The sequence below is a fragment of the Homo sapiens genome, chromosome X (assembly GCF_000001405.40).
Source record: "Homo sapiens chromosome X, GRCh38.p14 Primary Assembly".
Lineage (NCBI taxonomy): Eukaryota > Metazoa > Chordata > Mammalia > Primates > Hominidae > Homo > Homo sapiens.
The window spans coordinates 79,129,801-79,146,715 of NC_000023.11; the positions used below are offsets into that span (position 1 = coordinate 79,129,801).

General features: G+C 37.7%; 1 protein-coding gene across 2 annotated transcripts in view, besides 2 other annotated features; it reads left to right on the forward strand.

Moving 5' to 3' along the window:
- Positions 202 to 863: an enhancer, noted in NCBI's record as "H3K4me1 hESC enhancer chrX:78385499-78386160 (GRCh37/hg19 assembly coordinates)". NCBI's record gives its function as "activates a minimal SCP1, AML or CMV promoter by ChIP-STARR-seq in primed H9 embryonic stem cells {active_cell/tissue: H9 hESC(primed)}" and the evidence as "EXISTENCE:reporter gene assay evidence [ECO:0000049][PMID:30033119]".
- Positions 9,212 to 9,261: a silencer, noted in NCBI's record as "silent region_20910". NCBI's record gives its function as "represses an Ori minimal core promoter by ATAC-STARR-seq in GM12878 lymphoblastoid cells {active_cell/tissue: GM12878}" and the evidence as "EXISTENCE:reporter gene assay evidence [ECO:0000049][PMID:35858748]".
- Positions 14,888 to 16,915, forward strand: part of GPR174 (G protein-coupled receptor 174) — a 30,631-nt gene continuing 28,603 nt past the window's right edge. For both annotated transcript variants that reach the window (NM_032553.3, XM_047442580.1), the window contains exon 1: positions 14,888 to 15,417. The gene's annotated coding sequence lies outside the window, so the exon portion shown is untranslated. The remainder of the gene's footprint in view (positions 15,418 to 16,915) is intronic.

A 16,915-nucleotide genomic window follows, 5' to 3' on the forward strand; every position in this document is an offset into this window, starting at 1 on the left:
AGGTCTGGTTGTTTAAAAGTGTGTGGTGTACCATCCCACTCTCTCTCTTGGTCCTGCTCTCATCATATGAGATGCCTGCTCCGCCTTTGCCTTCCCCCAAGCTTGTAAGCTTCCTGAAGCCCTCACCAGAAGCAGATGCTGGCACCACACTTCTTTTATTATCTGTAGAACCGTGAGCCAATGAAACCTCTTTTCTTTATAAATTATCCAGTCTGTAGTATCTCTTTATTACAACTCAAAAATGTCCTAACACAGAACATTTGTACCAGGAGTGGAATGTTGCTATGAGGATAACTGAAAATGTGGAAGTGGCTTTGGAACTGGGTAAAGGGCTGCAGTTCGAAAAGTTTGGAGGGCTGAGAAGGATACAGGAAGCTGAGGGAAAGTTTGGGACATCTTAGAGACTGGTCAAATGGTTGTGATCAAAATGGTGACAGTCGATCGACAGTGAAGTCCAAGCTGATGAGGTCTCAGATGGAAATGAGAAACTTACTAGGAATTGGAGCAAAGATCACCTTTATTATGCCTTAGCAAAGATTTTGGCTGCACTGTTGTCCATGCCCTAGGGATCTGTGGAAAATTGAACTTAAGAGTGATGAGAAGCCGGGCGCAGTGGCTCACGCCTGTAATCCCAGCACTTCGGGAGGCCGAGGCGGGCGGATCACGAGGTCAGGAGATCGAGACCATCCTGGCTAACACGGTGAAACCCCGTCTCTACTAAAAATACAAAAAATTAGCCGGGCGCGGTGGCGGGCGCCTGTAGTCCCAGCTACTCGGGAGGGAGGCTGAGGCAGGAGAATGGCGTGAACCCAGGAGGCGGAGCTTGCAGTGAGCCGAGATAGCCCCACTGCACTCCAGCCTGGGCGACAGAGCGAGACTCCATCTCCAAAAAAAAAAAAAAGAGTGATGAGTTAGGGTGTCTGGTAGAATAAATTTCTAAGCAGTAAAACTTTCAAGATGTGGTCTAACTGCTTGTAACAGTCTCAGCTCAGATGTGGGAGCAAAAAATAACTTAAATTTGGAGCTTCTATTTAACAGGGAAGCAGAGCACAAAAGTTTGGAAAATTTGCAGTCTAGCCATGTGGTAGGAAAAAAAAAAGGCTGTTTTCAGGAGAAGAGTCTAAGTATATTGTGAAGCAACCACTTGCTAGAGAGATCAGCATAACAAAAACATCCAAGTGCTGATAGCCAAGACAATGGGATAAGGGCCTCAAATGCATTTCAGAGATCTGTGAGGCAACTCCTCCCATCATAGACCCAGAGGCTTAGGAGAAAAGAATAGTTTTGTTGAACAGGCCTGGGGCATCACCTCAGGAGGCTGCACCCTGTATCCCTGCTGCTCCAGCTTCAGCCATAGCTCAAAATGCCCAAGGTACAGCTCAGGACACTGCTTTAGAGGGCACAAGCCATAAGCCTTAGTGGCTTCCACGTAGTGTTAAGTGTGCAGATGCTCAGAATGCAAGTATGAAGGAACCGTGGTAGCTTCCACCTATATTTCAGAAAATGTATCAGAAAGCCTGGGTGCTCAGGCAGAAGCCTGCCACAGAGGTGAAGCAATGACAGAAATACTAAACCCGGCATGACACCCATTAAATCTTAAAGCTCCAGCATAATCCTTGACTCCATGTCCCACATCTAGGACACACTAGTGCAATGGGTGGGATCCCAAGGCCTTGGGCAGCTTCGCCTCTGTAGCTTTGCAGGCTGAAGCCCTTGTTGTGCTCTCATAGGTTGGAGATAAATTTGAGGCTGGAGCCCCCACAGAGACTACCCACCAGGGCACTGCCTAGTGGAGTTGTGGGAAGGGGGTCACTGTCCTGCAGACCCCAGAATGGTAGATTCACCAGAACCTTGCACCCTCTGCCTCTAAAAGCCACAGACACTCAAATCTAACAAGGGATGCAGTCTGGAGTCAAGGATTATGTTGGAGCTTTAGGATTTAATGACTGCCTTGCTGGATTTAGGACTTGCATGGGGTCTATTGCCCCTTTCTTTAGACTGATTTCTCCCTTTTGATATGGAAATGTTTATCCAATGCCAATATCACCATTGTATCTTGGAAGTAAAAATCTTGTATTGATTTTACAGGCTCATAGGTGGAAGCGGATCATTCTCAGATGAGACTTAGGCTTTATACTTGACATTGGAACAAGTTAGGACTTTGGGGGCACTGTTGGTAAAGGATTGTTGTAGTTTGCAATGTGAGAAGGACATGAGATTTGGGAGGCCAGGGGTGGAATTATATGGTTCGGATATTTGTCCCCTCCAAATCTCATGTTGAAATATAATCCCAAGTGTTGGAGGTAGGGCCTGGTGTGAGGTGTTTGGATAATGGGGGTGTATCCCTCATGAGTAGCTTAGCACCGTCCCCTGGGTGATAAATGAGTTCACTTGGGATTTGCTTGTTTAAAAGTGTGTGGCACCTCCCCCGACCCTTGCTCTTATTCTTTCCATATGAGAAACCTGTTCCCCCTTCACCTTCTGCCATGATTATAAACTTCCCAAGGCCCTCACCAGAAGCAGATGCTGGCACCATGCTTCTTGTCCTGTCTGAGGAACCATGATCCAAAGAAATCTCTTTTCTTTATAAATAACCCAGCCTCAGGTATTCATTTATAGGAATGCAAAAATGGCCTAACACAGCAGCTTTATTCATAATAATTCAGAAGTGAAAACAATTCAAATGTCCATACACTGACAAATGATTTAATGAAATATGGTTTATCCATACAATGGAATATTATTAAGCAACAAAAATATCGAAGTACTGATACATGACACAATGTGGATGAACCTTGAAAACATTACAAAAGTGAAATAATTCAGTCACAGAAAGGCAACATATGGTATGATTCTATTTACATGGAATGTTCAGAATGGAAAAACAAGTCTATAAAGACAGAGTATATTAGTTGTTGTCCAGGAGTGGGAAGGTGAGGGGAATAGGGAGTGACTACTTATGGTTTATTTTTAGCCTTCTGTGCATGTTCCAAAATTTCATTATCATGATAGTTGCATCACTCTGTAAATATTGTAAACATAATTGAACTGTATACTCTAAACAGATTATTTATGGTATATAAAGGCAAGATTTGGCCTGCATGTCATACTTTAACAGTTCCTGACCGAAGTAGTAGAATTCCAATTAGTGGGACAGGAAAGAATAATAGGCAGGGATAGGACAATGGTTTGAAGGGAATTCTTTAGTCCTTTCTAAGACACATCACACTGGTGAATATATACAAATATAGAAAGAAAGTGAAGCAAAGTAGATTTTCTTACTTTTCCCCAATAAAGATACATCCAGCATTAGAATTACTAGCTATTTTAGTTCCTTCACAGTCATATGCTACTGAAATGCATGTCTTGTCCTTTTCAGAAGGAAGGTGATGAGATCTCTGTATATGGTAGCAAAGAGATTATATTAGTGATGGATAACTGAAGAATGAGAAACTATGTAATCACAATCAGAGTGAATTTGTAAATTCCTACACACTAATATGGTAGCTTTTCACACAATAATGTTAATAATAAGTAACATGTATTAAAAGTTTCCTAAGTGCTTTGTTTATATTAACTTGCTTATACCTTATGACATCTCCTTAAAGTAGATTCTATGTTATCTACATTTTACGAATGAGGACAATAAGGCAATGAGGTGTTAAATTGTCTGTCCAAGATCAAAGAGCTAATGAGTAGCAGAACCAAGTTTGGAATACAAGTAGAACTCTAGACACTTTAATTTTAGCCACTGTGCTATATGACCATATGATTTCAAGTTTGGAAAGGATAAAAAAGATTAATAAATTCAACTATTTTTTCAAATAGTTTAAAATTATTCAAATTATTTATTCAAATAAAATATTACATAAAAATTGTCTGTGTAAAACATTTTAACATGGAACCCATTGAGTTGATGGCCTGGAGTCCTGCCTTTGTGGATCCCCCAGAGATTTTTCAAACATTTTGAGAATTTGATGTAGCCTAAATTTTCTTCCTTTACTTAAATCTCTCTATGATATTGCTATTTTAGTCTGCTCAGGCTGCCACAGCAAAATACCATAGGCTGGGTGGCTTAAACAACAGAAGTGGATTCTCTCAAAGTTCTGGAGGCTGGCAAGTCCAATATCAATGTCCCAGCAGGGTTCATTTTCTGATGAGGGCTTTCTTCCTGGCTTGCAGGTTGTTACCTTCTTACCATGTCATCACACGGAAGAGAGAGAGAGAGAGAAAGCGAACGAGAGAGAGCAGGCAAGCAAACTCTGGTGCCTCTTCCTTTTATTATGAGGCGACCAGCTGTTTCACATTAGGACCCCACCCTTATGATCTCATTTAACTTTTTTCACATCCTCTAAGGCCCCACCTCCAAATACAGTCACATTGAGGGTTAGTGCTTCGACATAATGAATTAGGGGGAGGGACACACAATTCAGTCCATAGCAATCCCAATCATAAATACTCTAGCTTCTGTTTTCATATGTTCATGAGAAGGAAAAGTATTTGCTCACCTATGCTGTCCTTGTTATTAATAGCTTTTGACAAAAATAATAATTTGAGTGATCTTTCTTACATTCAGCAAGTATATGTCTTTTGGGAGTTTGTATACACAGCTTCTAATTCTTCCCTTTAGGATTGTGTTGATAAATCTGCTCACATTAAGGGACTTGGCTCTGTAGCTGGTGCATAGTACTTACTCAATAAGATGTTATTATTATTTTGTCTAACAGTCTAACAGACACTTAATTATTTATAGGTAATTATGACATGCTCCATTCAAAACTCCCATATTCTTCTCTTCTACACACTAAACATCCTCAGTTTTTTCTCTATTTTATCTTGTAAAGACTTTTTTTAAACCATTTTTGATGCTTTCTTATTGTATTCTCTCCTGAAGTATAGCTGCCTGAACTTCATAAAGCTATTTTAGGAGTGGTCTGACTATCTCAGAGTAGAATAGAACTGTTACCTCCACTGTTCTAGACAGTTTATTTTCATTAATACACACTAAGGTAATATTTAGTTTTTTGTGGGTTTTGGTGGCTATTGATCATTTTTCACTGAGCTTGAGCTAAGAGTCAGCTGTAATTACTTAATCTTTTCTACATGCGATACTGCTTACCCACATCTCTCCTGTTCTTTAAGTGATCGTTCACTTTTTTTTTTTTGATATGAGAGTCAAGCAAGACACTTTTCCCATTTAAAGTCCATTTTACCGTAGCCAGCCCTTGTTAAGATCCTGCTGGATCTGCAATGATACAACTTACCAAAGCTCCATCACAGTTCCAAGTTTGTTGGTAGGCCTTTCTTGTAGCACAGAGAAATACTGAGGCAAAAAGTGAGACCCATGGTATAATTGAGACATAGTGTTGTCAGCTTATATCTGTGTGCAGCTGGTTGCTCCAGCAACAACTGGAATACAATGTAGGTCTGAAAACATGGAAGGTATCTAATACATACCTTACTTAGCTATAACCTTGAACAATCCTCTAAGTATTTAAATGCTTTGTGCTTAATTTTCCTCATGTATACAGAGAGTACAGTAATCTGCTCTATCTTGTAGGGTTATTGGACAGAGGAAATAAGAGACAAGATATGACAAGAAACATACTTCAGTTTTCATTGTTTGAGCACATGAATCCAGCAATGCTTGAAGTCCTGAAATTCTTAGGTAGATGAGCCTACACATTTTTGTTTGGTAAACTCAATTTGAATTGGATTTCAATCACTTGCATATGAAAGAGTCCTGACTGAAATCTGGGGTTGGGCAAAGGATGACTGGGTCAATGTAATAATAATCCCTGTGAATTAGAGTGCCTACTATTTTTTTCTCTCACAGAAGACATATAGAAAACAGAACAAAAAGAACAGTGATGAGATGGATACATGGGGAGGCTCCAGAAAGTGGCAGATGGTTTGGGGTTCCCCTATTGAATAGCTGATTAATAACTTGACAGAAAGCATGGCCTTTTGGGATGGGAAACCATGGACTCAGCTATTTCCTACATGGGGTAAGGGAAGCATCTTAGTTACTACTGTGGGACTAGCATCTTGTTGGGCTAACAGAAAAGAACTGAGTTTGTGCTCTGTCTAGGTCTCTAGACATGACCTTTGTTTAATACGTGATGGGAAGCAAAAATAAAATGGTAAATGCTAATAAATGTTGATAAATGGTTTCAAGTAGCTTTGATCTAATAAAAATTAGAAAGCAGGTCAACATCAAAGATATCATCTCTTGCTGAGTATAATTTCCAAAGCAAAAACACTGGGAAAATGTGCTCAAAACATGTAGGTGCATTCCAGATTTTAAAGTTGGAGACTGGTGATGTGCACATAAAACTTGAAATATAAATAGCTATTTTGGGAGTGATTATTTTACTCTAATAGAGAGTTTCAAATTAATTTCCTTTTCCCCAAAAAAAGGAGCTTCAGCAAACCCTTGAGATTAGAAGGGAGCAATAGAAGCAACTTAGTCCAGTTCTCTAACCCAAGGAAGAATTGCTTATTCCTGATCAATCTTGATTTTCTACTGTATTTAAGTAATATATGGAGACTATACCTATGAAATACTTCACCTCCGTATGTCCCAAAAAAAGCATCTTTGAAATCTACTGACCTCTGCCCCTTTAAGTCAGAGCTAGGGTACAAGGCAGAAAAATCAATACACTGTAGCCTACAGTCAGCTCTACCTCCTTGGTCATCCAAGAATATCTGTCCCTTTTTAGAGTTCTGCACATATACAGAGAATGTTGCCTATGAACCTCTCTTATTCTTCACTCTGGCTAAAATGGGTCTGTTCACCATCTCCACCATTAATTCATCTTTTCTTCTTCCTTTTTCCGCAATTCTCAGTCTTTTTGTATTCCCTTCATACATAGCCCCTAATTATCTATCCCCATTCTATTTCCTCTGTTAATTTATTTTTACCTCACTGTGCTTTTGAAACAGGACCAGGCAGGCATTCGTGAGTTGGTGGGGTTCTGCCTCTTTCATCTTTTACATTCCTGACATAGCCAATTCTGTTTTGTTGTTGTTGTTGTTTTGTTTTTAATTGTTTGTTTGTTTGTTTTGAGATGTAGTCTCGCTCTGTCACCAGGCTGGAGTGTAGTGCCACTATCTCAGCTCACTGCAACCTCTGCCTCTGCCTCCTAGGTTCAAGTGATTCTCCTGCCTCAGCCTCCTGAGTAGCTGGGACTACAGGCATGCCCCACCACGCTGAGCTAATTTTTGTAATTTTAGTAGAGACAGGGTTTCACCATGTTGGCCAGGATGGTCTCCATCTCTTGACCTCGTGATCCGCCCACCTCGGCATCCCAAAGTGCTGGGATTACAGGCGTGAGCCACCATGCCCCACTGACACAATCAATTCTTTATGGGCACATGCAGAAGTACAGACAATTATTAAAAAAACAGATATTCCAATTTAAGGACTGCAGACATGGCTTTAAGTTATTTTACCTTTTTGGATATTTATTTTATTAATCCTATTAAGTTTAAGCTAAAATTCCAAAAAGTTTTCTATCAGACTAATTCACTATGAAGGTAGATGGTTTGGGAGTTCCCTAGGGTTCTCAACAAGTCAATTTTGATTTTAAATTCTTTCTTGAATGATTTTCTTATTCTCCCACTAATCCCAGCTCCTGTTACATGCTGCAATGTAAAACAGAGTTGACCAATCTTAGCTCTCATGGAAAACATTCTATATTGGGTCCCCAACACTCATTTCAACACCTAAGTTGGCTTCTTGTACTATTAAGTCAGAAAAACTAAAATCTACATTACATGGACATAAACTATATATATATACATATATATACATATATATGTATATATATATAAACGTATATGTATATATACGCATATATATATATATATATATATGCATCTGACATACAACAAGTGACTCAGGTTTGGTCAAGTGAAGAAATATTTATGATACCTGGAGATGGAAGAAAGCAATATGAGGCTGGAGCCATTATGGGAAGATTGAATATTCTGGAAAGAATTATGACTGAGGCATTTCATTCCTTTAGAGAATCTGGGAAAACTGTCACATGCATTCCCAAATGTCATAAGTATTGAGTGGTGGATATTGACCATACCAGTGTTGTTGCTAGAATACTCTCATGGTATGACTGGGCATTGACCTTGGCTAAGTTGTTCCTGTCTGTGTGGCATTTAAGCTTGGTTCTTTGTCTCTCCTAGAGATTTGCTGATTTATCTAATAATCTTTAATTAATCATTTTCTGTCTAAATTAAATAGAGTTCATTTTAGAGTGTCTATAATTAAAAACCTAACCTATGTAGCTTAAACATTTTACCCCAGCAATAGTGGCTAGAGTCATTTGAAAATATATCAGCGGAATGATTTAGAGCTCAAAAGGCTTCCTTGAACAGAAAGGACTAGAGACACCATAGACTAAATACAGAAAGGGCTTTTAAAATAAGCCCCTTTAAAATATTCCTTATTTGAAAATCCTTTATTATTTAAAAACTCCTTTCTGTATTTTGTCAATGGTGTCTCTAGTCTTAAGGACATCTGATCAGATCCTTTCCCAAATATTAAATAGGGGAAAGACCAAAATGTATACTATTTAGAGAGATACGGTAGTGAAGAAAGAGACTGTCTGGGACAACATAAATACCACCAAAGCAAATTTGAGAGATTGGGTTCTAGTCTTGGCTTTTCCACTTCCAAGCTATAGAAAATGAGCAGGTGTCTTCTCTCTGGGCCTTAGTTATCTTAAAATAAGGTCAGTAATTTCTAACTTTTTTTGGGTCATGTACTATAAAGAAGGTTATGGTAGCAATAGAACTTTTTTTAGTAAAATACATACACAGAGTTTCTCTTTCACACACATATGCACACACACACTCAAACATTTTTGTACAATTTGAGATTTTTTAAGCTTAAAATTACATTAAATATCATGGATACAGCCAATGTAGTCAATATTTTCTTTCCTTTTTTTATCACCCTTCCTCTCCTGCCTTTACTCAGATCTGAAAGTACCAGCATAAGCCTGTATCTAAAACAAGAAGTACTCACTTTAGCACCTACGGTGACTCTCAGAAGAAATATCAAGGCAATTAGAAAGATGTACATATCAGAGTTCATCTCTCAAAATAATTAACACTGAACTAACTCTGATTATGCCATATTTGGACAAGGTTTGTAACTCACTGGGCTTCAATTTCATCACCTGTAAAATGAGGAAGTTGGACAGATCAGCGGTTTGTAACCATTCGGGGGGTTACTATCTGATAAACCCTTATGCTGGGCCCTTCCTGCCAGGTTGCACTTCCTGATAGCAGAGAGTCTGAGGTGGCAATGTTCATTAGTCCAGTGATTCTTAACATGTTTTTGGTCCCAGACTCCTTTAAGAATCTGATTAAAACTATGAACTTTCTCTTAAGAAAAATGTGTGTAAGAGTGCAAACAAGATTTCATAAATGCTTTCAGGGATTCAAGGACCGTCTGAAGTCTATGCATGGCTCACCAGTAAAAATCTATGCCCAGTAAGATGTCTAAGAATCCTTTTACTTCCAATATTCCACAAGTCTCTAATGTGGTCAGCATGTTTGACTTAAGACAAAATTGTGTGGTAAATACTTTTCCATACTCTTCTCATTTCTCTTTAGTATTCCTTTCTTGTTAATTGTACTGAAATTGCCAGGGTCTCTACTGAGAGTGGATTTACCTGATAAAGTTACACTAACTCCTAATAAAATAAAACCTTAATGAGGAATTTGAGGCTACACATTTACCCTTCCCCACAGAGTTTACTTCTGCAAAAAGGGCACAGAAGGGGAATAGCCAAAAAGAACACACTTGAAATATTAGCTTTTCAAACCAGTGGCAGGTATGTGAGTGGGTTTTTGTGGGTTATAACACTTGCATTGAGTATTTTATTGTGTGTGATAGATGACCTTCCACTCTATCTATTCATAACAGTGTTTCTTTCTCTATAGGGCCTTGTCCACATGTGCATACAGGAATGCAGGCTGTATAAAGTGACTTTTGTGGGCCCCAGCTGAATCTCCTGTCACCAAGTTCTGCTTATTGCTAATTGTAAGGACTTAAAATCAATAAAAATAAAACCACTCCTGGCTTGGATTCTTGTCTTACTATGTAGATCCAAACAACACTCCTTTGCTCTATTCCCGAGTGTTACTTTTGATTGGAAAATCCAGTGTTCATTTGCACCTAAACTATAATTTTTAGTATAATGTATTCTGGACATTTTTCCAATAATAAATTAGGTTCCTTTCAGGCTGCATACTTGCCCTAACATACAATCACATCATTAATTTTTATTTTGGGCACTGTATTTTGAACCATTTATTCCTTCCTTTATCTTATGCATAAAAATAGAAATTAAATTAACAAGTTAAAATTTACTACATTTGTTTTGCAAACAGTCATGATCTTGAGTAAAGTAGCATTTTGCATTTGGACGCTGGAGCTTTTATCTGGTAAAGAAACCACTTTCCACTCATTCCCCTTCACTTTGTTCCTAGACTCAGTATATTTCTGCAAAATAAATTCTGTTTCCCACCATATTCTGTAATCAATTCAGAGACTATCCCCTAAGGGAAAACAAAACATACTGGTAGCAGATAGAACGGAAAACTCTGGCAAGGTAGGAGGGAGTTAACCAGGTGGTCGACCCTGTAACTGCTTGAAATTGGGGTACTGAGAAATATACGATCTCTCTAATGCTGCCATAACCCCATCATCCCAAGACGGGATTTTTCTCTTAGCCCTGTGAATTTGCTGAATCTATATTAATAAGTTCTTCCTTTATTTTCTGATTTTTAAAATAATAAAGATTAATAAAATTCAGTTGCAGTATTGTACTTTGCCAAAGGTATCACTATAACCTGAGAATCGGCAGTGAAGTTCTTCGGCTTGAAATCTCCTTAATTTCACAACTCCAAATCCATACTGAGCATTTTTTTTTTGACTATCAAAGTTGTGTAATTTGGGGAAAGTTACTTAACATCTCTGAGCCTGTTTTTTCAACTATAAAATTGAGTCAGAATTAAACCTAAAATATGGAGTTGTTTTGATGAATAAATAAAATAATGATTGTAAAACACATTCATATCAAACACAATGCCTGGCACATTGCCAACTCTCAGGTCATAAAATACCTTTGTCATTCATAAAAAAGTATTTTACTTAAACAAGGAATGAATATAATTAGTACTTTAACTCATAACTCCCACCCCAAAATAATTTGAATAACTGATTTTTAAAATGTTTTTTAATCCTTTAATTGTAGCACTCTTATATTTTATTGATGTTGATTAGTTAATTCTATGCAATTGCAAGGCCAGACATAAAGCACATTGCATATTATAGAATGCTAAATAAATTTTAGTCATGATTAAATCATAACTATTAAAAATATTAAAAATTCTTGGAATGGGAGGATCCCTTGTATTTAAAATTGTAGGCCTGATGGTATGAATGTTTAGAAAAACTACATTAATCATAATCTATACTGTACCATGTAATCTTTTATTTACAGTATAACAAAGAAGCCAACTTGAGACCTAGTAATTTTAGAATCACAAGGTAAACATTAAATAATAATGAAACATTCATTATAAAGGAAATTATCTCCTCAAACCAATATTAAGAGCTGAAACTTTTACTTTGCTTCCACTTTAATATATTTTATATTTTGGAGTTGCTCTATGGGGAAAGAATAAAAGAATTATTTGGGTCTCTATTCTTAATTTAAGAAGGCTTAACCTTTTTCTTTTTTCTTTTTCTTTTTCTAGATCTTTTAAGAAGATCTAAATGAGTCAAAATGTCTCCTTCATATATATATATACCCCTTGGTATCCTCATTTTCCTCCTGATTGCTTCCACCAAATAAGCTGCATATATATATATATATATATATATATATATTAAATGGACTCTTCCTATGCAGAGCCATGGCTCTTCATATGCAGAGCCATGGCTCTTCATATGCAGAGCCATGCATATACTTCATATGCAGAGCCATGAAGTATAGTTTTTGAGTCCATTTAATATTTGACCTTGCCTCTGCAACTAAAGGAAAACCCTCGCCACAGATAATGTAACTACAAATAAATCACCATTTCATAGATGCCATGAGACATTGGCCAGATGGAAAGTATTTTGGTAAAAACATTCTCTTAAGAGTCAAAAAACCCTGTTTCAGATCCCAACTTCATCATTAATTAACTGTGAGACTTGAACTGGGTTCCTTCTTTCTTACTTTCTTCATCTTTAAAATGAGAGCTTAGACTATAACATCACTCATATCCCCTTCAGCTCTGATATGCTATAATTGAACCAACTTGGAGTGAAAGTTCAGAAGTTCCTATAGGATTATTTCCTTTGGTTCTAGTCAGGCTCAAGCTTCTTGACTTAAATAGAAAAGATAAGAGCAGTATCACTCAGGGAATTTCACCACTGGGTGTTTTATTTCAAAACACATGCAATTTGGCTCCTGTGAGCTCTATCTGAGGCTGAAAATTCAAAAGATGTGTGTTCCACAAAAGGAGAAAGACATGCCTGCATCCAAAGCTTATTTGGTGGAAGCAATCAGGAGGAAAATGAAGATACCAAGAGGTGAGCCAGTAAAGCGTGGCAAGAGCTATGGGTTTAAATAAATACAAATAATATTTCTGTTCTTTGCTTACTAAAATCTTGTAGTTCTTAACAGGCCCAGCCCAAACCCTTCTTCTCCTGGAAGACTTGCCTGACTTCTATAATAAAACTGTACTCATTACTCTAGCTCTCTGAGATCCTTGACTTCTCTGAAATCTTACAGCACTAGATATGACTTTCTTAGGCCCTTATTATATTCATGTTGTCTTATATTTGGGGCAATTGCATTATACACATATATATATATATATATATATATATATATACATACATACATACATATATATATATAACCTGCTTAATTGGATTCTAAAGAGTTTCTGGGACATGGCATCCTTTCCTTTGCCATCAGCCCTCTGCCACTCTGTCCTTTATTCTCACCTCCCCAGTTGAATTTGTTCCACTGCTCTACACTTAAGAGTTATTCAATATATGTTTGCTGAATGGAGCTAAGGCTGTGTGAGGAAAGAGCACATCACAATAAACTCTAGACACACTAAGGCAAGTTGAAAAAATATTTCTGTAAACAAACAAACATAATATTACCCACATCATCTGCCAGACCCCGACACACAGAATCAGAAGACAATGCCAGGGCAATATATTTCTGCCTGTTGTAAACATGTCTGGCCCAATACACATTTAGATTAATTTACTCTTTGACTGGGCTCAGTGGCTCATGCTTGTAATCCCAGCACTTTGGGAAGCTGAGGCAGGTGGATCACTTGAGGCCAGGAGTTCAACACCAGCCTGGCCAACATGGTGAAAACCCATCTCTACTAAAAATACAAAAATTAGCCGGGAGTAGTGGCACATGCCTGTAATCCCAAGCTACTCAGATGGCTGAGGGATAAGAATTGCTTGAACCCAGGAGGCAGAGGTTGCAGTGAGCCAAGATCGGACCACTGCACCTCAGCCTGGGTGAAAGAGCAAGAATCTGTCAAAAACAAAACAAAACAAAACAAAACAAAACAAAACAAAACAAAACAAAACAAAACAAAAAAACCTTTTTCCCCTTATATTTTTCTCCAGTTGCTCAAGACAATTCTCACTAAAGCTAGCCTATGACAAAATTGTTATTTTGCTTTTGGCAGTTCAGTTTTCCCATAGTTGGATCTCTTCAGTTTTCCTTTATATCCTGTTCTCAACATGTACTCTTACCTTTACAGTTCTAAACTCATTCACATCAAGGTTTTCAAATAAGTATATTTCTAGGAGAATGAGAATTTTAAAATCAAGACTTCAGGAAGAAAGAAATTCTTGCCTCTAGAGGACTGGTGTTTCAGGCAAAGTGGAGGTGATATTTTGAGGTGGAGAGCCCTCCAGGTATTCCCTATAATATACCACAGAGGTATGTCCTGGCATGAGACTGTACCTGCAATAACATGTTTTTTCTTCCATGGCCTATGTGAAAAGTCCCTTTACTCTTATCTAGAGATATTACCCAAATCATAGGTATTACCTCCAGTTGCTTCCTGTTCATCTACCTTTAGGAGTGGGGAGGGGGGTGTTAGGTGCCTAATACAGTGTGGCACTGGTCTCAGGGGTCTGGAACTCTGGGACTCCTTTGAACACCATCTTCAAGAGCCTGTGGCAATGGGTCTGGGCTGCAGAAAACCAACCTCTTTTCATTGGATCCTACCTAACTACTGAGAAGAAATGGGGGTTTACCTGCACTTCTTGGTAACAGGGACCCTGAGGGTAATGGGAAGTGGGTGGACAGGAAGTGGAAGGTGGATTATAGCTCCAGATTCTTCTTAAGGAGTGGGGTATTTAATTCAATGTCAGAATTTCAGAAGTTTGTGTATTCAAGAATGCCCTAGGCAGAGATCATGCTCACCTTCACCTCTTCTATTGGCAGCTTTCTAGGGAACATTCTTGAGAATGTTCACTTTGATAACTGAATGCAAGTGAGAGGCTGTGAGAAAGGATCACCCTAAGATTGCGGTGGCCCACTATCTATGCAAGCAACTCGAGGGCTCCTAGCTGCAGCAAAGGACTCCATAGGCAAATAGGCTGTGTGTTATCATGAGCTCAAAGCTGAGTGCAACCACAGAAGACAATGCACTGTGGCCCTCGAAATAGAAAGGAGAATTTCTTTTCCTAAGTGTGAAGCTTTGCAGGCTCTACATGCAGCCTGTAGTGTAGCCCTGCATCATTAACGGGGGTGGGCGGGGGCGGAGAGAATGAAAGCAAAAGAGCATGCTGGCTGCCCCCTGGAAAACGGAAATGTTCAGTGTACACAGAGAGTGGCTTGCATATTTCACTCTGACATCTTACTACTATGCTTTTCAACATGATAGTGGTTAGATATTCCTGATAATTTTAATTTTTTTTCCTTTTGCTTTCATAATTTTTCTTTTGGCTTTCTTTTATTTTGTATTATTTTTACTTTTATTTATTTTCTTCCCTCCCTCCTTCTCTCCTGTATTCATTCCTTCCTTCCTTCCTTCTTCCTTCCTTCCCTCCTTCCTCTCCTTTCCTTTTCTTTCTTTCTTTTTCTTTCTTTCTTTCTCTTTCTTTCTTTTTCTTTCTTTCTTTCTCTCTCTCTCTCTTTCTTTCTTTCTTTCTTTCTTTCTTTCTTTCTTTCTTTCTTTCTTTCTTTCTTTCTTTTTTTTCTCCTTTTGCTAGTGAAGGAGAATTGGATTGGTTATTTTCAGAACAGGCAGCCTAAATTGATGCACAAATCAGTAGCATCCTTTTTGGAGTGGCCATCACATGAATTCTTTGGAGATCTCTGAAGAAAACAGAAAGAAACTGAAATGGTAGGTTCTAATTATTTATGCATAATTAGCTCTCGTCTGTGCGTTTTTCCCTTAGTATCTAGAACTGGACTCTTCACACAAGGAACTGTACAACTTGTCAAGTCTAAGCATGGTTATGGATATAATGAACTTGGACCATCCTTAAATGTCATTTCGTTGGTATTTGAACAAACAAAAATAATTGTATGACGGGCTGCCGGAGGAGGGAGGCAACTTTAAACTTGGGAAAATATAAGTTTGACATGGAGAGATTTTTAATAATGTGTTTAGCTCATTTGATATTGAGTAAAATAGTCCTGTGAACATTTGCAATTTAACCTGTTTTGTATTAAGTAGAGTTGCTTACATAAAGGTGCAGGATAATTTTTATCTACTCTTTGCTATAACTCTTTGGGGGTGCTATTTTTATCTGCTGCATAATTAAACTGGTTAACTTTGTGTCCTTTTCAAAATGAATGGTTATTTGAAAAATGAGAGATACAATATTTCAGGACCTTAGCTAATATAAATGCATGTTCCTATCAGCTTGTGTAAGTTACTTATTTTCACTGTAAAAGTTAATTATTGTAATTAATGATAGATATAAAGATTCTGTTTTCAAACACGTTTAAGAAAACTTGTTTATAATGAGAGAAAGAGGAAATAAGAAAGATAACAGGCACAGTTGCTCTGTTTTTCATAGATAAGCTCTATTTACGATAGTAAGTAATCAGCACATTAAAAAAATCAACAATGGTTAAAATGATTTTGAATTTAATTTACATTTCTAGATACTCAAAATTGACTTATTTTGACAAAATGTAAGTGAAATTATTTCCTTGTTTGCGTGTTGTCTCTGTTTTGTGCTCCAAGAGAAAATGTTTAGGACAGTGCCTTTTGACTTTAAACCATATGATGATACTATAAATGGTGTGTAACTGCTAGGAGCTGCATTCAGAGACTAAGAGAAAAAAGTCATGAATTCCTATGTGAGAGAGAGATAGAAATGAGGAGGGATGTGGTACAATATGACCCAGGATTAAATCTCAAATAACTTTGCTGCTCCTTTGTCTCCTGTCAACAGTAATGTACATGGACTTTATTTTATACTGCTCAAAACTTTTCATAAAAGAAAATGTTATAGTTTTATTCAATAAGCAGAACTATATGCTTTAGAGAGCTTTGGATCATTCAGCAAAGAGTATTTTGTTTTTCCTTTAGCTTCTGTAGATATCAGATATAAACACAAAAACATTAAACTTATAGAGAGGATTAAAGTTCTTCCACCCACGGCAAGATTATACCAGTCACACTGGCAAACATTTGGATATGCCAAGAAGTTTGTGTCCAAGAAGGATATACTTTTAATTACAGATAATGTGCTTTGCACTTGTGAACACATGTACTGCTTTGCTTTGTTATATGTTTGTAATAATATTTGTGTGAGACAGGAACCACCTAGTGTACTTATTTTGTTGGGGCCAGATTAATACGATGCTGAATAATGTAAAGATGAATA